The sequence below is a fragment of the Homo sapiens genome, chromosome 9, assembly GCF_000001405.40.
Source record: "Homo sapiens chromosome 9, GRCh38.p14 Primary Assembly".
Taxonomy (NCBI): domain Eukaryota; kingdom Metazoa; phylum Chordata; class Mammalia; order Primates; family Hominidae; genus Homo; species Homo sapiens.
Window position 1 is genome coordinate 22,097,020 of NC_000009.12, and position 23,130 is coordinate 22,120,149.

Below are 23,130 nucleotides of genomic sequence, written 5' to 3' on the forward strand. Positions count from 1 at the left end.
TCTCTGGGCTTATGTGGTCAGATGCAGACCTGTCTTCCATCCATACCAAAGGCCATCAGGGAGTTTCTTTTGTCCTCTTCACCAGCCCATTCTTAATCTTTCTGATAAATTTTCTGCACTGTGTGCGCGTGACAAATTGGGTCAAGGTGATGGTAATTTACAGCATGAGATGGTGAACTTGCTGCCTGTGCTGATGAGCCCATTGGATTTCCCCTAACTAGTCTGTTTCCCTACCCAGGTGGAGAACTTCAGTAGAGGAAGTGGCAGGAATTTGGGAATGAGGAGCACAGTGATTAAACTGGGGCCATTCATATGAGAGTTTAAGAACTCAGACCAGTGACTTAGGTGAGTAAAAATATCAGAAAAAGGGAAAGAGGATAAGAGCAACTTGGGCCATAATTAAACTTGTCAATGAAATGAAGGTCTGTTATTCTAATGCCTACATTTTGCCAAACCTTTGTGCTTATAACTTCATCATTTGCTGTGATTAACAAAGTTGAAAGAATAATAACTACTTACAAGGCCCACATCACCTCCTTATACCACTAGCTTTTGCTTTCCGTACAGACATAGCTTTAAAAAGTGCAAATCCTATTCTGTACCTGAGCCACAACCCTAAAAGGGAACTTGTTTACAATTCTAAGAATAATATTGTCCTTTAAAGGTGAAGGCTCGCTGGAAAACATGCCATTCATGTGATAAAAAGCAGGTAGCAGGTAGTGCTAAAGACTTACTAGACTGCATGTTTGTGCTTTCTGCTGCATTCCTCTAATCTCAAGGCAGTATAAGGAGATAACATCTTCACAGCCCTTTCAGCCCTGTTGCAATTTCTTTGACCCTGGCCTGATATAAAAGGCAAACTTGGTTTTTCACTGTTCTAGTCATGCAGTTTCTTTGTGGTTCCCTTTAGAAAGACTTGAGGCTATGAGTCAAAGCTTTTACGTCTTGCTGATAGTTCAGAGTTGTGATGTGAAGCAATAAATAAAATCCCTCCTTCCACATACTTGTCTCCTTGATTAGAATCATTCTGGGCAAATTTAGAGGCTCATAAAGTCCATTTAGATATTTAGTGAAAAAACACCAGCACTCAGAACAGAATGTTGATAATGTAGATGGAATATCTTTCTCTCTCTGTCTCTGTGTGTGTGTGTGTGTGTGTGTGTGTGTATTTATATATGTGTGTATTTATATTATATATGTGTATATTTATATATGTGTGTGTATACATTTATATGTGTATATGTATTTATAGTAAATATATCACATGTATTTATATATAGTAAAAAAGAGGGGACTATAATATATCTTTATATGTTAGCATTTATTTTAAAAAGAAAACACAGGAATATCTAAAAGAAACTATTACTTATAGGGGTTATGGGAAATGCCATGGGCAAGAATTTTTTTTTTTTTTATCACCATGCTTTCTGAAACAACACGATATGTATCACCTTTATAAAAATAAAATAAAATAAAAAATGAAAAACAAAGTCCACTTGTAACCACATGTCAGTAGCATGTTTGCTTTCAGGGTACATCAAATGCATTCTATAGCACAGGATGTTCCAGTCACTCTAACAAAAGATGTCCTGTTTGGAACACCAACTCTGTATCAGTTACTTCAGACACTTTCTCTCATTGAGTCCCTTCAGCAAGCCCTTTTAGGTTTATGTTCTTAGATGAGGAAACCAAGTCTTAGAAACATTAACTGGCCAAACTAAGATCAGAGAGTTAGAAATGTCAGAGCCCAGAACTGGCATCTTCTGACTTCAGATCCCATGTACTTTCCCCTACACTGTGCTGACCACACCTCCATTACTACAGATGTGTTGATTACATCTAGGGGCCAAAGTACACATTCATCCAATAAATGCTTACTGAATGCTTACCGTGTTCAGGGCACTGTGGCAATCTTTTGTAATGCAAGAAAAATAAGAGTAGTGAAGACAGTCAAGGAAACAAAGAAGCCTAATACTAGGCAAGAAGTGCTTTTGATGGAATTAAGCACAATGAGGGTGTTAGTACAGAAAGGACATTTAATTGAACTGGGAAAGTTCATGGCAGTTTTCCCAGAGATGAGTCTTGAAGGACAAATGGTATTTAGCCAGGAGGAAAGGGGGTCAAGTGTATTCCAGGGAGAGGGAACAACATGTACAAAAGCACAGTTTTGAAAGAACACTCCATTTTTGAGGAATAGCCAATAGCTGGGCACGTCTAGAGCATAGGGTAGTAGAGAGAAAGGAGGCCGGAAATGGGAAGAGACTTGAATGCCACATTCAGTTATGTGGACTTCATCTTGTAGCAATGGGAGCCTACAAAATTTTAAGTAGAGGAATAAAAAGATTCCATCTAAAACTTAGAAAAATTACTTTGGCAGGATAAGAGACAATGAATTGACGGGGAGCTGGGTTTGATAGCAAGAAACTGTTTGGGAGACTGTTCTAATTACATATTTTCTTGTTTTTAGATGCACATATACGTACTTTTTTAGCTGGTCATTTCTTTCTGAAATTGGAATGAATCTTACAATCAATGGCATGTTATAATTTCATTGGCAGCATTATTTGTCTCTTAAGGGCCCCCAAATAATAGTGTGTCACATAACTGATAGCATCTCAAATTAGATGAAATACAGTAGTCCAGGCAAGAAATACTGAGATGGTGGGGTGGTAAAGAGGGAAAAGATTTGAGCCACATTTAGATCCTGATGTGGTATTAATTATTAAGTAAAAAAAAGGAATGTGCAGTACATATTCAGTATGCCACAAGTTGTGGAAAAAAGGTGTGCATGGATAGATGCACATGTATGTATTCATAAAGTTAATGTGGATGCATAAAGCGTCTCTAGAATGATACACAAGAAACAAATAACACCCGTGGCTTTTAGTGGGGGGCATTGGGTGGCTGAGGGAGAACAGCGGTAGGAAAATTTTTCATTGTGTTCTATTTTGTACATTTGATAGTTTGAACTAGTCGTATTATGCACTTCAAATATGTAAAAAGATAAAAAGTAAGAGATATTTAGAAAGGAGCATTGACACATTTGTTGACAGATTGGTTATGGGATAAAGGCGATAGTATTTTATTGACTATATTTTATTCTTTTAATTATTCCTCTAATTTCTTAAAACAACTTTATTGAGGTATAACTTCCACGGTATAATTTCACCCATTTTAAGTGCATGAATTCAGTGATTTTTAGTAGAGTCATTGAGTAGTGTAACCATTCCTACAATGGTTATAGCACATTTTTATCATCCTAATGAGATCCTTCATGCTCATTTATTTAATCTCCATTCCCATCTCCATCCCCAGGCAACCATAATCTTCCATGTTTTTAAAATAGCTTTGCCTATTTTTGGATGTTTCATACAAATGGAATCATACAAAAGGTGGTGTTCTGTGTCTAGCTTCTTTCCCTTAGGATAATGTTTTCTGGTTTATAAATGTTGCAAATGTCAGTATGATACTTCATTCCTTTTTATTTGTGTCTACAAAATACTCTATTTTATGTATATACCACCTTTTGTTTTTCTGTTCATCAGTTGAAGAACATTGCAGCCGTTTTTGCTTTTTGACTTTTATGAATAATGCTGTTATAAACGTTTATGTTTAAGTCTTTGTGTGGAAGTATTTTTTCATTTCCTTGGGTAGACACCTAGAAGTAGGATGTTGTATGGAAAATTAATGTTTGACTTTTTAAGAAACTGTTTTCCAAAGTGGCTGTAACAGTTTACACTTCTACTAACAATGTATGGAGGTTCCCACTTCTCCACATCTTTGCTTACACTTATTATTGCCTGTCTTTTTGGCAGACTTAAGCCTAGTGGTTGTGAAGTGGTACTTCATTGTGGGTTTGACTTCCATTCCCCTAATGACCAATGATTTCGGACATCTTTCAAGTGCTTATTAACCATTCACGTGTCTTCTGTGATGAAATGTCTATTTGAATATTTTGCCCAATTTAAAACTGGGTTGTTTACCTCCCTATTCTTGACTTGTTAGGATTCTTTGTATTTTTAACTTTAATTTGACTGAGGATAATGATCCACCAGTAAAGAGATGCATTTATTTCTGTATTTATGAAAATCTTTAAAATTCCTCTACCTTTCAGAGACACCCTTCAACAGACTGCGCTTCTTATTTTCAGAGTATGTATTTCCATGATAACACAAGTATCAATTATAAATATTAATTACAACTTTCCCTCCTCACTGCAGACTCAACCAAGAGTTATAAATCTGTGTATTACTTTCAATGCTCATAACAATCTTCTTAACCACCATAAGCAGACTGAAAAAGTCAATCTAGTTGAATTGTTTTACTTTATAATGCTTTTATAAGATACTCAGTCTGAAACTGAAAGATAGGTAGCTCTAGAAATGTGATAAATGGCCACAGAAGTAACAACTTTTAATAAATTAAATTATGGATGTTATGTCAATTTTAAGTAATGTCTCAGTTTTATATCTTGTTACCTGACCTAAATATCATTCCCTTTAGTAAAATATCTATTAAAGCTTTGTGGCAAAATAAGAACAGAAAAATGGTTTTTGATTTTCAGCTTTCTCTGGTGAATAATTTGTTTTCTTTTATTTTTCCTTCTAAAATAATCACACGTTTCATTGCAACCCTAACCCTCTTCAACACACACACACACACACACACACACACACACACACATGGCTTCTAGATTCTACATGTACAAGAGTGCAAATCAAACTACCATAGAAAAACTAAGAAGAGAGGCCTAGAAGCAAGAGGCTGATACACTATCTCAGGCTTCAACAAAATATTTATCTCTGACTATACCAAGGATGGGCAGAGCTTGCATGTAAGTGGCTTGGGCTAGCAGACTGGGTTTTGAAGGAGGACAACATGGCCATGTTCTTGGTTCGGTCATGAACTGTCTATGGCACATACCTTAAATACTGTTGGAAGGATCCGTTAGCTCCAGAGACTGCAACCAACTGCCTATGGTCATAACTCAGCTCTCAGACACATTTTGTTGTGCCCACAGAGTGCTGTTTGCCTGTTTGGTTTTTAAACCAACACTTAAAATGCAGGGAATTTAAGATAAAAATTTGATAAAAATGGGAAGATTTGGCCGTATTGGGCTCATGGTAACTGAGATGCATCTGAATGACAGGCATTCCTTTGAATTGCACATTTGCTCTTGTTTTTACTATAGGCCACTCTCACTTTCTGTTTTTTTCCCCGGCTTTGAAACGATCAGTTTTAGTACTGAAAAATTATCTAGGATACTAAAACCAGAATTTCTCTGCTAGATGGCTTGCTCATTACATTACCTACATGATTCTGTGTAAGGGATTGTGTAAGTTTTCTATGGTTGCCATAACTATCACAAACTTGATGGCTTTATAACAACAGAAATGTATTTACAGTTTGGAGGCAGAAGGTCTAAAATCAAGACTTCTGATTTTAGTCTGTCCAAGAGCCTCTGCTGGTAGGGCCATGCTCTCGGCAGAGGCTCTTGGGGAGAATCTGTTCCTTGCCTCTTCCACCTTCTGGTGGCTTCAGGTGTTTTGTGGCTTGTGGCTGTATCACTCCAATTTCTGCCTCTGTTTTCGTATGGCCTTCTACTCTGCTCCTTTAGTCTCTCCTTTAGGCTGTTTCTTATAAGACACTCACCTAAAACCCAAAAACAATCTAAAAGATTTTGCAAATATGAACATTCTAATTACCTTAGAGTTAAGATTTTCTTTTCTGCTAAGTGAGGGCATGGTGCAGAGAGCAGGAAAGATGTGAAACTAGATAGCATACAAAAATAGGTGTTCATAGATCTGGGCCTAACAAGGGTGTGGCCAGCAACTCTGCCCTGCTTTATCAGCATTAGAAAGCCAGTCCTCTCAGAAAGTGCCCAGTTAGCTAAATTCATGAGATTATAGACTATTAAGGTGGAATGGACCTCAGAGATGGTCCTTGCTCTCATCTGAGGCTTCAGTTGGGCCAGTCAGAAATGTGGGAAAATTGAGGCAGGTCAAATAACCAGGAGTACAAACAAACACAATCTATCCAGAAAACTAGAAATCTTACTAGTGACTATTCACAGGTTACTTTCTGCATTCTGGGGTTTTCATTCTAGAACAGATGTGTGTGTGTGTGTGTGTGTGTGTGTGTGTGTGTGTGTGTGTGTGTGGTGCGTGAAGAGAGGGGAGGGGTGCCCAGAAAACCATACCCACTTTCCCACATATCCCAACTATGACTGGGCAATTATGTCATTATCACCACTGATATATAGCTGGAAGAGTTTAGTGTTGCCCTGCTAAGATCTGGATTTTCTTTTCTGGAGCTTGGCTATTGGGGCATTGAGAAGTCCAGCCAGGAGGTTGGTCAGAGGCTAACCCAAAAAGCTTTGCTTAACTCTGGGCTACAGCTGGGGGTTGCCAGAGAGAAGTGCCTGGCATTCCTGCATGCTGACATCAAGCTTCGAAGTTGCTGCCCTCTGGTGAGTCAGCAGCAAAGGCCCACATCGTTCGAGAATGCTGCCCAATCAGAAGATGTGATGCCACACCTCAGAAATCTTTCTAAACCTCAGCATTCTGTAGACTTCAAACAACTCCTCCTGAGAAAGAATGTAGAAATAATTAAATTTATAAGATTAAAGTTATAAAAAGCATAGAGCCTATAATAATAACAGCAATAAGATAAACTCCACATTTGCTTTTAAAACAATTTATTTGAGTAGACAGCCAACCCCCTGTATTGTACTCCTTTAAAAAATATTTTAGGCTTTTTAAATGCTGAGGCAAGGGGACATACCAAACACTAACAGGCACATTGGGGTTTTCTGGCTATTGAAATAAAAATGTCCTTACATAACACTGATGTACTGGAATAGCACTGCGTTCCAGTGACGGTTATTGCAACTCAGCCAGCATATCTGTAGCTTGTGAGCTTTTCTTATCAGAATTTTATCTATAAATATACATATACGTAAATTCTATTGTGAAATAAAAATAAAATGTAGAATCTTCTCATCTTTCTTATTAGTCAATATTGTGCTACTCTTTAATAATTTCTCTCAATTTTTTCATTAAGCAGATATTACTAGGGAAATATACATGAGGCAGAAGGCAAATTATTTGCTTAGTGCAATGCAAACTTGCTTAACAGGTAAGAGCAGAGTCCCTTCCATAGCATTGCCACCATATGGCATTGCCATATCGTGGAGGCCATAAAGAGGAATGACATTGTAAAGATTAACTGGATTTTACTTGGCAAGGTCAGGCACCTAGATGGCATGCTATAAAATGGTTAGAAGTGCAAAGGAAACCTGTAGCTAGAGGCCATGTGAGATTATGGAAGTGACTTTTCTTACAATCCTGCCATCTGGTTTGGATTGTCAGGATCAAAACATTTCACTTGCCCAAGTGAGGATGCTCTCTACATGGTTTTGGGGATGAGGGAGACTCAGAAATAATGTTTGTGGTACTGTAGCACCACTAGGAAAAGAGAAAAATTGGACCTGACATGAAGAAAAGCATGCAGCCAGCCACTAAGACTACTTCCCACAGGACTGGAAATCTCTACCACCGTACCTCTCCTACATGCTGGGTATAAGAAGTTAAAGGGAAGCCAGATTATATTTACCTACTCTTTCATTCATTCATTCACTCATTCATTTATTCATCCATTTACCATTTGTTTGTTTTTTGTTCATTTACTTATTTAATAAAAATTGTGTTTTGCATATTCTAGGTGCCAGGCATTGAAGAACCACTGTTATTGTTCTCAAATGACTGACAGTTTAGAGGAGAAAATGGAAGAATAAATAGACACTTGTGATGCAATATAATAGTGCTCTAATAAGAGCAACATATATTGAATACCACTGAATATTAAATACCAGGGACTTTGCTAGGAGCTATAAATTAATCTCCACAGTACATCTAAGATAGAAGTTTTATAATTACTCTCTTTAGGAGGAAATAGGGGTCTATAGAGGTTAAGTCTCACAGCCTGGAAGGAGTCAACAAAAAAATACTCAGCCTTAGGTATTCTGACTAGAAGCTTGGGTCCTTAACCACCTACTCACCAATTTGAAGAAAGATGATTGAAACTGCAACAGCTACACTGACTCTTGAAAGCAAAGTAACTCGTTAAATGAGGGTATGTGTATACTGGCTGGGATATTGTGGGCTCATGATGACTTGTAGGCCGAGGCAGCTGCACATATGAAGACTATGGAGGGTATATCATCAGCGGAAATGAAAGTGATTAGTGTTGGAGGTTTCAGTGCATATTCTGGTTTTCTATTACTGCATAACAAATCACCCTAAAATTTAGTGACTTAAATAAACATGATCATTTATTTAGCTCATGAATTTGCAAGTTGTGCAGCACTTGGGTGGGATAGCTCACCTTTCTTCCATGCAGTGTCTGCTGGGACTGCATGATTGCATGAAGCGGGGCTGGGCAGCTAGAGCTCTTCATGAATCTCTATTTTTGCATGATATTTTCACAAGGTCTCTCAAGCATGGGAGCTTCAGGTAGCAGAACTTCTGACAGGGCAGCTTAGTCCTTTGAAAGTGTATGTCTGAAAAGAGAGACTCAGGCAGATGCTATATTGCCTTTTGTGACCAAGCCTTGGAAATCACTAGTCTCTCTTGTGTTGAGGTGGTTATAAGAGCCTGTCCAGGTTCAGTAGGGAGCATAAATTTCACCTCTGAATGGAGAAGTGCCAATGTCCTGAAAAAGCATGTGGGCCCAGAAATACTGTTGTGGCAATTTTTTGAAAATCAAGTGTGATAAAGACAGCATAGTGTAGTCATAAAAAACAGATTAGGAGCATGATGTGCTTTGATTTCAACTATGGGCTTTATTACTTACTAACTGGGTTACTTTGGTTAAGTTGTTTGACTCTTGTTTTTTGAGATGGAGTCAGTCTGGGAGACTCCAGCTCTGTCGCCCAGGCCGGAGTGCAATGGCACGATCTTGGCTCACTGCAACCTCTGCCTCCCGGATACAAGCGATTCTCATGCCTTAGCCTCCCGAGTAGCTGGGATTACAGGCACCTGCCACCACATCTGGATAATTTTTGTACTTTTTTTCTTTTTCGAGACCGTGTCTCACTCTGTCACCCAGGCTGGAGTGCAGTGGCATGAACTCGGCTCACTGCAACTTCCACCTCCTGGGTTCAAGCCATTCTCCTGCCTCAGCCTCCTGAGTAGCTGGGAGTACAGGCACACGCCACCATGCCAGGTTAATTTTTGTATTCTTAGTAAAGATAGGGTTTCAGCATGTTGGCCAGGTTGGTCTCAAACTCTTGACCTCATGATCCGCCCGCCTCAGCCTCTCAAAGTGCTGGGATTACAGGCATGAGCCACTGTGCCCGGCCTAATTTTTGTATTTTTAGTAGAGACAGGATTACACCATGTTGACCAGGCTGGTCTGGAACTCCTGACCTCAGGTGATCTGCCCACCTTGGCTTCCCAAAGTGCTCGGATTATAGGCATGCGCTACCGTGCCCAGCCCAAGTTGTCTGACTCTTAATTCTCAGCTTTCTTATTTGTAAAATGAAGGTACTAGTACTAATTTGGAGAGTTGTTAAAGATTAAATAATATATGTAAATGCCTTGGCATAAGGGACTGGCACAAAGTAGGCACTTCATATATAAAAGCTGTGATTATTGATGAACCAGTAGTGAGGTACATAACTGGGGAAGGAGAAGGGGCCAGTTTGTGGGAATGCTTTTTTAGTTATTAATAGTAAGGTGGTAAAATAATAATAGTAATAATAACCAAAAGTTACTGAAAACTAAATACAGTGCTAAACTCTTTAAAAGGAGTATCTAATTGGATCTTAACAACAAAGCTATGAAGCAGGACTAATGTTATCTCATTTTATAAATGAGGAAATGTAAGATCAAACAGGTTAAGAAACTTTCCCAAGTTGATCAGTAGCAAAGACAGGATTCGAACCAAGGTAATTGTCCTATCAGAAACTGTACTAGGATAGTCTGCATTTCATGGTAAAGACTATCAGATGCCACTAAAACTTTTTAAAAAGGGAAGTCTTGTGGTCAAATTTGCTCTTTAGAAGGCAGTATGGAGTGCAGATCAGATGCTGGCAGCAGGGAGATCAGTTAGAAGATGGTTGCTCTAATTCAGTTGAGAAATACTGAGACATCTGAAATATTGAAGACATCAGTAGTGTGGGTGATGTGAAAGTGGTTCTAAGAAACTAGCGGCAATCATCCTTCATTACTGATTGGGCGTGGAGAGAAAGAGAGGTAGCATTGGTAGCCGTTAGTCAACTCTGAGTGCAGGCACTGGCATGTGCATTATTACCCAGGGCTCTAAGTGGAGAAAGAAAACAACCCCAGGGTGTCTTCAAACCTAAAGCATATTTCCTAAGCCTTTGCACTCTCAGTCTAGACTAAAAACAAACAAAGCAGCCTCCTCTGAAATGCTGGAAACTTTCCCCACTTGAAACTCTCAGATCTCTTACCTTGCAATTCTAGCTTTCAAATTCCAAGCTGAGCTTCCTTTCCCACACCCCGAGTCCTTGTACTGGGGATTACAATGATCATTTGTATGTACTAGGTGATTGTTCCTTCCACATCAGGGGCCTTGGAGCGGATGACCTAAAGCTGCTTTCTCCTGTCCTGACTTTCTCCACCCAGCACTGCAACCATACATACAATTTTCTGGTCTTGTAGAGAATGACTGACTGGTCATTATAGTCTTCCAAAAGGATAAGAGATTAGTGTCATGATGTGGCCTTCAGGCAGCCAGGGGGAATCTCCATATGAGGTACTTGTTGACTGTATTACTTAGTTTTAGGTGAACTTCCTGTGGAGGGACAATATGTGCTTAGAAGGACAGAGAAGGAATGTATTAGGTAAGGCATTCTACATCTCAGATAAAGAACTTCAATGAATTGTTGGGTCAAGGTCTAAGAAACAAACCAGCCGTCAATGGGAAAGTTAACTAAAATGAAGAACCCAACATACAACCCCAAATCCTAGTTTTTCTGACTATGTTTTCTTAAACTGAAATAATTTCTGAGATTAAAAAGAAGTTGCTGTGACTTTGTCTGATAGATGTATTTTTTTGTTATATATTAGTTTGGGCCTTCTATCTCTCCTACTTTGTTTTCTTTATAATAGAATTAATCTCTGAAAAGTAACTTTACTGTATTCTGATGCTCCATTTTGAATAAGTCAGTTCTTCTCCGAATGGGCTCTGGAGATTGGCATTTGATTGAACAGCTTTTGTGTATTGATTGTTTTAGGTAGACTGGGTACTCCATTTAACTTAGTATTTCTGACAATAAATCAGTCGAGAAGGGAGTATTACTCTAACGGTTTGAACACTTGTCTATGCACATTGCTTGGTCATTCAATAAGTAGTTATTGGTGAGATCGGGCACGTTCAGGGTGGTATGGCCATAGACAATAAATGGTTACGACTCTGCCTTCAGCTGTACCAGTATTTAAGTTATAAGGTAGTTAAGTTACACCAGTGCAAAATCATACAGTTTGGTCACAGTCCTACTTGAGGATCTCAAACCTAGCTCCCCTTAACAAACATGGAGGCTTAATCTTGGCTTTGCACACTGAATTATTCCTTTAGAAAAATACTTGGTGTACAACTCATCCTTTTCATTTACAAAGAAACAAATTTGAGCAGTTTCACAATTTAAAAAGTCTCCCAAATGGATTATATTTAATTGTCCATTTCCAATGAAACTCACTAAATTGGTAAATAGCAGTGAGTGAATAACTGATGAGGTCATACTTTCTTGTTTTGGACTACTACAAACACCACGGAGCAACAACAGATTAGAATATAAAGGTTAAGCAAGGGTTTAGTTTTTGTTCAAAAGCCGTTTTGCTTGTTACAAAGGCTACCAAACCTTTGAACATCAGACCAAACCAAAAACAAAACAAAACAAAATAAAAAAAACCCCAAAACTGAAAGATGAAAACATAGTTTGATAATCTAAGCTGCTCTTCCTTTATTTAACCTTGAATTTATGAGATTATTTTTTTCCCCAGAAGAAAAATTCTCTTAGGGACACTTTCAGCAATTTAACATTTTCTAAGCATTACAGCAAATAAGAGGCGATCATCATTCTTCAGTCATAAAGATAAGCCAAGGAATGAAAGTGTTTTGCAGGTCATGTCACCTGACAGAAACTTTGGACTGGTCCTTTCCTGGTTCAAGAGTTCAGCCATAATACCTACTTTCCCTATCAGCTGGCTCAAGCTGATAAGGTCCTGAAGCAAGCAAAGCTTCTTTATGAGCTTTTATTTAATTGTCCTTGCCACATAAGGGTTGAGGGGATTCGTCTGTACAGAGTTACTTCTTGTTGGTCTATTTTTTCTTTGGAATAAATCGCTGTCTCCCCTGACTGGATAGAGTAAATAGAGTTTGTTTAAACACTTTTCATCAAATTCCTAGTGCCTAGTACAGAGCTTTTAACCCTAATACGTTTCCTGCGTGTACTTATTGAAGGAATAATGACAAACTCTGCCTTAGATTGGTGACTGGCTAGGGAGAAACATGGTTCAAGAGCTGAATAAGTAAGAGCAAGTATTTTATTGTATGCCCATCAAATGTATTCGATGCTGGTGATGGAGGTAAGAGTGTGATAGAGGCTGAGTTCTCTGAAATTACATATGAGATGTCATCTGCCATTTAGTATTAGCTGTGTCTGTCTTTTTTCCAGGAATTTGGCCTTAAAAGAGATCATTCAAAAGTATTACCCAAATAGTGATTTATCAGGCTTTATTGTGGGGAACCTAAAGTGGATTGCAACTGCTATGGTCCCTTTGAAGGGAGCTGGTGCAAGATTTTCCATGCCTAATCACACTCATTTTCCCTTGCTCTCCCAATGACCTCCCATCTTTCCTTCTATTTGGTCTGATAAACACCAACAATAGGATCCTTTCTGCAGCTTCCATCCTAACTTGTATTCTAGCCTTAACACTGCAACAAACTCACTGTTACCTAGAAGTCAATTGACTTCCCTGAATGTTAGCTTCTTTAGCTGTAAATAAGTAATTGTATGAGGTGATGGTTAAGGTGATTTACTAATTTTACAATTCTATTATTTTATGAATAGACCCTAGTTAGGATAGTTTGAAATAGATACTTAATCCACTATTATTCTCTCTTCTAAGATATAGTTACTAGTTGATCATACTTTTCCTTAAAGGCTGAACTGAATTCTCTGATATCAGCAACTAAACATCTCATATTTGTCAGTATGAACATCCACTGGGTGCCTGTTATTTAACCAGGTAGAATTCTTAGCTGTGATTGAAAATCTAGGTATCTCTTCTGGTACTATCACTTGGATGAGTAAAGTTTGAAAACCATTAAGTTGACATTTCTAATAGGACTGTGGATTTAACATAGATTCCCAGAAGTCTTGGAATACAACAGTGTACACAGATGAAGATACAGTACTTTTTGGTATTTTCTTTTTGCAAGTGTTACAAATATCTGCATGTCATAACATCATCACTATGGATCCCATCTTTTAATGAGAGCTTAGTATATGCTACACACTGTCACTAAACATGTAGGATCTTGTTTAGTTTTCTCAAAATGTTGTAGTTACTATGATTATTTTTTGTGTCTTGCAATCATTGTGTATAAGTGCGTAAACCATGTATCTAGAGTTTATAGAAGAATTAAAATTCAAAAACCCTATACTCATCTCTCATTTTTAAAAAATACCATTTTACCTGTCTTTAGATGCCCTGTATTTCCTCCCCAATCTCATCCCGCTCCTACTCTTGAAAGTGATCACTATCCAAATTTTGTGCCAAACATTAACTTGTTTTCTTTAGCTTTGCCATCTATGTATGTATCCCTAGGTAATACATGGCTTAGTTACACTTGTTTTTAAATTTGATGTAAATGTAATCCTATAGTATGAATTTTCTAAGACTTGATTAATCTATGAACATTTTATTTTGAGATTCATCAATATTGATGTGTGTAGCTATAGTTTATTCATTGCTGTTGCTGAAAAATATTCTATTGGATGACTTTGCTACAATTTATTCTACCATTGTTGGATATTTGAGTTGTTCCCATTTTATTTATTTATTTTATTTTTTTGCTGTTATGAACAATGTGGCTTTGAACATTCTTATACTACCTGGCGTGTATATGTATGTATCTGTCTGTCTGTTCATCTTAAGATGCACTACAAAACTGAGGCCTAGAGTCACCAAGCAACTTGTTTAATGTCAGAGTGAGTTGGTGGTGAGGCCAAAGTCTGAATTCAGCAGTCTGTTACCATAGTTTTCATCCTTAACCACAATACTCTATGAATCCTTATTTTAAAAAGGAAGGTCTGGAGAATTTAAAATAACTTCCTAAAGAGCAGGGATTCAACAAAGCTCAGTCTGACTAATGCCTTCCATTTTTAAAAAATCACCCAAAGCACATATTATGATTCTATTTGTGAAGTATTAGCTAATTACAAGAGAATGAGTTCATACTTGGCACTACTATCTCTTTCTTACAAGTGATCAGATGTCAAAATGTGAAAACTATACATTTCACATTATCCATATATATGTGACATTTTTCCTTTAGGAATATGAGTAGAAATAGAAAGACAGGTTTTTACAGTGAAATAGATTTTTTTTCTCTCTCTTTAGCCTACCAAATCTCTTTCGCAATACCTAACACTTATAAATGCATTTAATTTCAGTGCCAATTAAAGAAATTCGAAAGTAGATAATAAGTGAGACAAGCACCCAGTAAATGTTTATGATGTGACACTGACAAATTATGGGCTGCTATAATCAAGATAGCATTAAAAATTTTAAAGTGTTTGTATGAACAAACCATTTTGGAAGGAGTGTTTGGTGTGGCAGTGAGCAAAACAACCCAGTAACTATGGCAGTTAGTGTTAAAGCTCTGATTTTGACATGAAAGGAATAAAAATGGAAGTCCAGCTAAATCACAAGTGTCCTGGAGAAACTTGGATGAGTTTCTTGGCTAGAGGTTTTTCCCACCACAGTAAGTATTTTCAAAGGAAAACAAAGTAAAATTTTTCTCTTGTATGAGTCACATCTCTGTTGGTTGTAAGTGGCTGAAACTCATCTTGAACTACCAAGGTAAGAGAAGAAACATACTGGTTAATGGAATTCCAGAAAGGACTGAACAATCAAACCATTTTGAAGGACAGCATAGAGCTGGACTCTAGAACAGCCAAAACAAGGGGTTAAACCACTGCGAGGGATCTCTCTCCAACTCTTGCTCAGGCTTTTCTCCCTGGCTTGACTTTCTTCTCTTTCACTGTAGATTGGCTTCTCTCACATGGCAAGAAACATTGCTGCTAGCACTTCCCGAGTTCTACGTTCTACAACATCCACCACTGGTGAGAGATTAACTTATGGTTTTTCTGTTGAAAAGTCAAAAATTACCTGGGAAAAGTCTGATTGTCTCAGATTGGAGATGTTGCCCATCTCTGGACCAATACACTATTATGTGTGGCTGACTATATAAAAACATGGATATTTTCTTGGAATCACTTGGTTTGACTGGGAGAAGACCATTCTCAAAACAAAGGAAGTGCAATTTATAGAAGGTAGTAGAATAGGCAGATAAAACAATAATTCTTCACTATATTGCTCAAATAATCCCCATGACATTTTTAGTATATTATAAAGAGAGTTCTAAAGTGTTTCCAAACTATTATAGCAAAATTTAATCTTATAATAATTTCTTCTTGAACTATGTATAATTTACCTGAAATATTTTCCAAAAAGCAATCAATGTGAGAAAATGAGAGCCCTGTCTTCTTAAAAAAATGAGTAAAAGTCCACAAGTTCAGAACAAAAGAAAATGAGGTAAGGCCTAAAATAAATTGTGCTAAGAAAGCTAAAATTCTAGACAAAGTCACATCGGCAAAACTAGAAGGTTGGTACTGTGCTTCAGTTTACTGCTTGCTGTTTGGTTAAGAGGAGGGGTGATGTGATAAAAATAGTGACGAAGTGAGAAAACTGACGTATTAGTTTTCTATTGCATTATAACAAGTCACCACAAACTTAGAGGTTTGAAATAACGCCCATGTATTATCTCGCAGTTCCTGTGTGTCAGACCTCCAGGCACTGCGTGGCTCGGCTGGGTTCTCTGCTTAGAATCTCACAGGTCAAAATCAAAGTATCAATGGGAGCTGCAGTTCTCCCAAGCTGGAGCCTGTGTCCCTTTTAAACTCTCAGGCTGCTGGCATAATTTATTTCCTTATCAAGCCATCCATATGATCCCCTCCATCTTCAGGCCAGCAATGGCCTGTCAAATCCTTCTCATTCTTTGAAAATCTCTGACTTCCCTTTCTGTCACAGCTCTGTAACTTCTTTTCTCTTCTGCCACCAGCAGAAGAGGCTTTTAAGAGTTTATGGGATTAGATTACATCCGTCTGGATAATCTTTTACTTAAAGGTCAACTATGCTATATAACATAGCCAATCACATTCGCACATTGCAGAGACTAGGGTATAAAATCTTCGGGGTCATTCCTAGAAATTCTGCCTGCTGCAGCCTGGTTTCTTGCTTGGACTCTAGTATATATTTGCTAAATCTCCCAAGCCTCAGTCTCACTATTTGCAAAAGTGAGTTTTAATGCTCTTTGCCCTGCTTGCCTCACAGGATCTTAACATAGACGTAAGATCAAATGCAATAGCATGTCAAACAATGTGTAACTCCAGTTATACAAACATTACTGTATCTCATTGGGGATACGAAGCTCTACACACTTGAAGATGGTGAAGGAATATAAAAATGTAAGTATTGCTTTTATAATAAATGTGTTCCTATTGGCTGAAAATTTCAATATCTGATACAAATAGTCAACTTTCTATTTTACTTTTTCTAATTATGCAAGACCTTGTAATCACAAATGTAAAAATTGCAAGCCACATGCCCCTAAGGCCAAATAAAAATTTGTAAAATTCTCTTAAAAAGACTCTATAGAGTCCAAATGAAAATACGTCGAGTCCTTTTAAAAGGATCCAACCACATATATCAACTGATATACATGGTACCAAAAACAATGGAATCTTTTCAGATTCTCTAATTGGCCTTTGGAACTTATGTAGCATCAGGTATGCAAATGAACAACTTCAGACCTTGATTACTCCAACCTCCTCTCCCACTGTCACAGCCACTTCTGTCATGACCTAGTTGTTCTCAGAAAGTTCCCTCTTATACCTGGTCAAACTTCTCTTACAATCACCTGTGACTTTCCCTCTTGGTCTTGGATCAAATCATCCTAAATACATTAAAAGTCCTGATTCTTCCTGTCCCTTAAATATATCTCTACTTGAATCACTGTGTTAGTTCAGGTCCTCTGAGAGAAAGATGTTAAGATGAAATTAGATGTGCAAGAGATTCGCCGAGGTAAACCTTGTGGGAGAAAATGGAGAGGTACATAGAGGAGCCTGGGCAGACTGTGTGGCTACTATGTAAGACTCATCCCCATGAAGGAGAAAGGAGAGGAAGGCAAAGAAGAAAAACCTTAAGATTTCAATTCTAAGAACGTTTTGACAAAGCTGATTAGGAGTATTTAAGGCAAAGCTGCCCACCAGAAGAGTACTGCATCTTTCAGGAACGGACTTGCTTTAGTACATCTGCTGTGCTTAGTAATTGGCTGGGAGCAGCCATAGAAAGCATGGACTCAGTACAAACTTGGTGATGAATTTCAGAGGCAGCGGCTAAGACCATCAGTCTATTATTTTCCTTGCAATAGCTGTCATAATTACTATCAGAGCAAACAATTTTTTGTGTGTGAATTCATGAGATAATGGTCTTTTCTTTCCTGCTTTCAAGAGCCATGTCATTGAAAGAGCTAATCATTCAAATTTATGCTGCATTACTGACTAAATACTTTCATTTATCATACTTTATTTTAAAATACTTTAACTCATGGCCCGATGATTTTCAGTTAACCAAATTCTCCCTTACTATCCTGGTTGCCCCTTCTGTCTTTTCCTTAGAAATGTTATTGTAGTATTTGCAAGATGGCCTGAATCCTGAACCCCCCATCTTCAATGAGCACCAAATGGTAATTATAGATTCCCAGCTGTAGAGCTATGTCAGACAAAGGAAACTTCATTAGTATGTACCAATGTTTGGACTCCAAATGCTTTTGTGTCTGAGTCACAAGGACTCCTCTTCCTTGGTGGCTTAAAGTTAGGCTGAAGAAGATTTACATTATGTTGTGCATGACCTCTTTAGTTTGGTTCTACTTATACTTTCAAGGAGGGAAGACTGGGGAAGGTGTCCCTTAGTGAGCATATTTTGTACAAATGAAAACAGGGTACTAACACTTATGCCAGGACGCATGCATAAACTAGGATGGTTCTGAGAAAACTGCGATATATGATCACTCCAGGGTCTCCCCTCTCAGAAGCGAGGGAGACTTAAACCTTTTACATCACCAAGTACATGGAAAGAAAGACAGCAGGGAAGTGATTCCGAAGAGAAACCTGAAAAAAGCAATGTGGAAAGATAGACACTTTAGCCTTTTCTTTCTTCTCAAAACTTCACATTCCTTTTCACTCTGCTTCACTTAAGCTGCCCTAGTTCCAGAGTGTTTCCTCTCTTGGGTGAAGATGGGAACAAGTACATGGGGTAGCAAGGGGTGGGTGGGACCTGTGCTCCCATTAAGGTTCTTCCAGAATCATTTCTATGTGATTATCAGCTTGGATCACATGGACTTGGGGATTATTGGTGGTTTTCTAGGGTAAACAGGGCATATTGTGCTGGAGGACATATTTTATATGTAACAATTTGGGGAAATTTTCTTTTATATTAAATAAAACTGAGATATGTAATGAATTAGGATGAAAAATTCATATTCATCTGAATTTTATAAGTGAATCATGAGAACTCAAAGATACTTAGCCCTTGGGACCATTTTTTACTCCTGTTCGGATCCCTTCAGCTAAGCATGATTATTTACTATTTTCAGCTATTAGTTATGTCTTGTTGAAAAAGTATGAAAAGAGCTGCCCAATAAATTAGAGTGTATGCTCAACATTCTCTTAGCTTCTTTATCTCTTTCCAAAATTGGATCAAATGACATTGGACATGATCAACTTCTTACTGTTTTGACAAACATCTGAGGATACTTTTATAATTGATAATTTGGACTAGATTATGCAATGTGTGATGAGACACAAGGTAGTCTGTACTCCCCATGATATGTATATCTGTTTGATATACTCAAACGGTGTATATCAAACGGATATAAGTTTGAGTAGGTATGGAGATGAGCCAGGGTTTATTTCTTCAACTAGTATTTACTGAATGGTCTTATGTGCCACAACTGTTCTGGAAACTGTGATACATTAATTAACAGATAAAGCCTTTCCCTCACAATGCATAACAGACCCAACAGAGTATGAATGTACATACAAACTAGTAAATAAGAAAACAAATAAAAGTATTCAGATAGTGCTATAACTACTGGGATGAAAATCGAGCAGGAAGGAAAATATAGCCTGCTTGATGTGGAAGACAGGGATAGCCTCTCTGAGGAGGTGACATTTGACCCAAGACCTAAATGAGGAGAAGGAGACAGTGAGATGAAAATGAGGGAAACAGCAATGGCAAATACAGAGAACTTGAGACAACTTGGCCCATTGGAGGGACAGAGACAAAGCCAATGTGGGACCACAGGGGATGAAAGGGAGGCTGATTGGAGAAATAGGCAGTGCTGAGGCCATAAAAGGTCCTATAGGTCATGGAAAGACATTTGGTTACCATTCTAATGACAGTGAGATGTTACTGGGGAGTTTTAAACTGGAGAATGTCATAACTGTCCAGATGTAACCAAATAGTAAAACCATTCTTCCTGAATAACTTGGCTAAAAGGAATATTATGACTACAGATGTACATGAAGATTAAGCAGAACATGGAAGAAAGGCCTCAAGTAAACTTGACCTCACATAAATATGGGAGGAAGATCAAATGGAAGCTGGGAGTGTTGAAAGAATGTAAGGGGAATGACTTCTAATAATGAACAAAAAGCTGTTATTTTATTATGAAGAAAAATGTTATGCATCTTATGCATGCAGAAGAAATTCCCATTCAAAAGACTTGGAAAATGTCTTGGGTGTTTACTATAATAAACCTTTTAAGATATAGAAAATTCACATATTTAGAGCTTAATTTCTAAAGAGCTCAGACTTCTCAGTTTATTATATGCTATGAAATTTTGTTTATTTTTAATTTAACCTACTTGTGTGCAAAATCAATAAGGAAGCTTAAGGAATATAAACAACTATTTAACATGGCCATTTAAATAGATTCAAAGTAAAGAATATCAGCATAGTGTTTCTTTGATATGACAACCCCTCCTCCCAGGGCACTTAAATGAAGGGTTGGGGGGGAATCTTAACCTGAAATTGAAAACCCTGAAATCATGTTTCCAAGGAAGGAGAAGGAAAATAGGAAAAACAAAAACAAAAAGCAGCAACTCATTTGGAAGCTCGTGGGAGAGGAGAGGAGGATTCATACATCTCGGACTGGTTTGCCTTAGCAAGTGAATCATTTAAATAGGAAAAAACAGGGGGCTGACTCAGCTTGAGCAAACTCTTGCTATCCCCTGCTGAGGTCCGCACTTGCTGTGGCCCCTGCCGCTCTCCTCGGACCTTGCTGCCCTCCTCCTTTGTCACTGTGGAGAAACAGGAAGGAATGTTTATTAGCAAGACTGACTGGGGTCACACCCAAGGCAATATCAGGTTTTTACCTCTCCCAGGCCTGGGAAGAGGTTCAAGGATCAAGGACAAGCTCCCGGTTAGAGTGAGAGGCAAGTTCAAACCTTTGAAAAATAAACTCACAACCAGCATTTGGCACAGGCCTCTGGAGTTTACAGAATGTATCTGCCTGTGTGTGATTTCATTAGTTCCTCCTGCCAATCTAATGAGATTTTACGTCCTGTAACAGTGAGGCAATTGGAGTCTCAGCAGGGAAAGGAACTTGCCTAAAACTGCAGGATGGGTAGCGCTTGGATCCTGACTTTCTGACTCCTAGGACTGTGCTGTCTTCAGATGATCACATGCCTTCTTGGCAGATGTTTCTAACAAAGGAGAGAGTTGCCCAGGGTGGGGCTCTGCTAGCTCCCTTGTCATGAGCCATTCTCTCCACATTGCCTTTTAGTTGCACCACATAGTCACCTTCAATTAGCTGTGCGAATAGGCTCACTCTTATGCTAACATGTACTAAAAGTGAAAATGGGGAGAGAGAGAGAGAGAGAGAAAGAGAGACACACAGAGAGAGAGACTCATATTATGGTATGTTCCCTGCCCCACCCCACTCCACTCCCTCTCAACAGGGAGAAAGTACCTGAAGAAAATCATTGCTATGAAGGGCATAGCCAGCTAAATGGGTGTCACTTAGTCTGAAAAATCTCAAAGATGTCAATAAGCCACTCGAGACAACAAGGAACCTGTTTTCCTGTCATCATTCCTTCTCAGTCCTTGGCTTTGGGAAGGGTAACTTTATGGAGAGAGAAGAACCTCTGTGGAGTTAAAAGGTTTATGAACTTTTTTCCCTGCAACAAATCAGTGACAGCTGTTCCACAGGCTGATGGTTTTCCCTTTACCTTTCGTTTTTTAACAGCTATGTCTCACAGTCCAGACTTGGAGTACAAGTAATAAGAAGAATAAAACTTAATCCCTTAAGTAGATTCACCATAAGTTAGCTCAGAGCAATTCCAGTGCAAGTATGGTCTGTGATCCAGTAGGTGAGTGACTCTGCTGCTGAAATTCACATGTATGTGAATTTCACAGTGGCCTTTGCTTTGTAGCATGCTGTAATCCTTTTGTCCATTTTCATCACACGAACTGCTGAATATAGGATTGTTAAATGGATGGGGAGATATCATGAAAATGATTAAAGAAGAAAGTTCTTATTTAGGGGTGCATACCTGCCTATCTGACCATTGTACTTAGGCAATCGGGATCTTGCTTTAAGAAAAGGTAGGCATTGGAGTCAGGCTGCTGGAGTATGAATCACTATGCTATCATTTTTCATTTGTTTTTGCTCTGTTACATTAGGAAAGTTATGTAGAATTTTGTGCCTCAGTTTCCTCATTCAATATGGGTGTAATAACTGTGCCTGTCTTGTAGGATTATTGTGAGGCCCAAGTGCAATAATATATAGTACACTGTGTCTGGCATCTAGTAAGCATTCATTAAGATGACATGAAGATAACACAGATATATCTTAACATGTAATTATGATTTTGCTTATTCAAGGCCAAGCATTCCAATTTAATGGAGTTAGGCAAACACAGTAAATTCATTGCTCTTTCCTTTTTATGCTACTTCCTTTGAAGAGGCAGTCAAGTTCCATTTGACTGATTCGGAACTTTTTAGCAATGTATATTATGCTGACTTCACTCTTATGCGCTCTTGGGGCTATAATTCATCAAGTTAGGCGAGCAAAGAAGTGTGTTGGTGAAAGAGAAATGAGGAAGAACAAGGAAGAAAAAAAGGGTCATGAGCTTATTCACTGCCAATATTTATTATATGGAACAATGACCATCCTTCAGAAGTGTTTGTTCTCTATTATACTGTAGGTGTGGAAGAATTATCATTGCTCAATAGCTGTCTCAGTCACTACCTGATAGACTTGGGAGGTCTGGCTATTTCAGGGCGCATTTGACATACAGTGACATTTTTGGATTAAAGCTTTCATGATGAGTGCCAGTCTGGGTCCAAAAGGGTTGAAAGCTGTCGCCATCTATAGGCTAGTTGTTTGTAGTAAAATACTTTCCCTCACTGCATTAGGTTCTTGGTACCATTTATCTAGCAGAGTTCTTCAGTGGGCTTGAGGCTTAGCAGTCAAGTTAAAACAATAACCAACATCCCAAACCCAGTGGCTGTCAAATTTCAGTGAGGTGGCATAGAACTTTAGCATGAACTTGAGCTTGGGTTCAGCTAGACTTTCATATAAATCCTTGTTTGAAGTTAGTAGCTGTGTGATCTTGGGCACTGATATTAAACCTTTATGAGAAAGTTATGTCTGAAATATGGGAAATAAACCTTCCACTTAGGTTGTTGTGAAGATTCAATGAGTTGTAACGATTGTATACACTATAATGATCTATATTACAGTTGTTTC

At 38.2% G+C, this 23,130-nt stretch overlaps 1 long non-coding RNA gene across 22 annotated transcripts in view, besides 7 other annotated features; it reads left to right on the forward strand.

The window, feature by feature from the left end:
• CDKN2B-AS1 (CDKN2B and CDKN2A antisense cis and trans regulatory RNA 1) overlaps window positions 1–23,130 on the forward strand; it is a 133,352-nt gene that overhangs the window by 102,229 nt on the left and 7,993 nt on the right. For 7 of the 22 annotated variants that reach the window (NR_003529.4, NR_047532.2, NR_185851.1 and 4 more), the window contains 4 exons: window positions 239–345; window positions 15,301–15,376; window positions 16,647–16,780; window positions 21,625–21,748. The exons of 5 other annotated variants lie outside the window; for them this stretch is intronic. This is a non-coding gene — a long non-coding RNA (CDKN2B and CDKN2A antisense cis and trans regulatory RNA 1). The remainder of the gene's footprint in view (window positions 1–238; window positions 346–15,300; window positions 15,377–16,646; window positions 16,781–21,624; window positions 21,749–23,130) is intronic. 10 more of the 22 variants (NR_185863.1, NR_185862.1, NR_185864.1 and 7 more) reach the window with 5 other exon arrangements.
• Window positions 5,589–6,090: an enhancer, noted in NCBI's record as "H3K27ac hESC enhancer chr9:22102607-22103108 (GRCh37/hg19 assembly coordinates)". NCBI's record gives its function as "activates a minimal SCP1, AML or CMV promoter by ChIP-STARR-seq in primed H9 embryonic stem cells {active_cell/tissue: H9 hESC(primed)}" and the evidence as "EXISTENCE:reporter gene assay evidence [ECO:0000049][PMID:30033119]".
• Window positions 5,589–7,068: a biological region, named in NCBI's record as "BRD4-independent group 4 enhancer GRCh37_chr9:22102887-22104086".
• Window positions 5,869–7,068: an enhancer, noted in NCBI's record as "BRD4-independent group 4 enhancer chr9:22102887-22104086 (GRCh37/hg19 assembly coordinates)". NCBI's record gives its function as "activates an origin of replication core promoter dependent on BRD2, P300/CBP, MED14 and CDK7 cofactors, and independent of BRD4, by STARR-seq in HCT116 cells {active_cell/tissue: HCT116}" and the evidence as "EXISTENCE:reporter gene assay evidence [ECO:0000049][PMID:35650434]".
• Window positions 6,091–6,590: an enhancer, noted in NCBI's record as "H3K27ac hESC enhancer chr9:22103109-22103608 (GRCh37/hg19 assembly coordinates)". NCBI's record gives its function as "activates a minimal SCP1, AML or CMV promoter by ChIP-STARR-seq in primed H9 embryonic stem cells {active_cell/tissue: H9 hESC(primed)}" and the evidence as "EXISTENCE:reporter gene assay evidence [ECO:0000049][PMID:30033119]".
• Window positions 20,293–21,492: an enhancer, noted in NCBI's record as "CDK7 strongly-dependent group 2 enhancer chr9:22117311-22118510 (GRCh37/hg19 assembly coordinates)". NCBI's record gives its function as "activates an origin of replication core promoter dependent on BRD2, BRD4, P300/CBP, MED14 and CDK7 cofactors, with strong dependence on CDK7, by STARR-seq in HCT116 cells {active_cell/tissue: HCT116}" and the evidence as "EXISTENCE:reporter gene assay evidence [ECO:0000049][PMID:35650434]".
• Window positions 20,293–21,610: a biological region, named in NCBI's record as "CDK7 strongly-dependent group 2 enhancer GRCh37_chr9:22117311-22118510".
• Window positions 20,965–21,610: an enhancer, noted in NCBI's record as "H3K27ac-H3K4me1 hESC enhancer chr9:22117983-22118628 (GRCh37/hg19 assembly coordinates)". NCBI's record gives its function as "activates a minimal SCP1, AML or CMV promoter by ChIP-STARR-seq in primed H9 embryonic stem cells {active_cell/tissue: H9 hESC(primed)}" and the evidence as "EXISTENCE:reporter gene assay evidence [ECO:0000049][PMID:30033119]".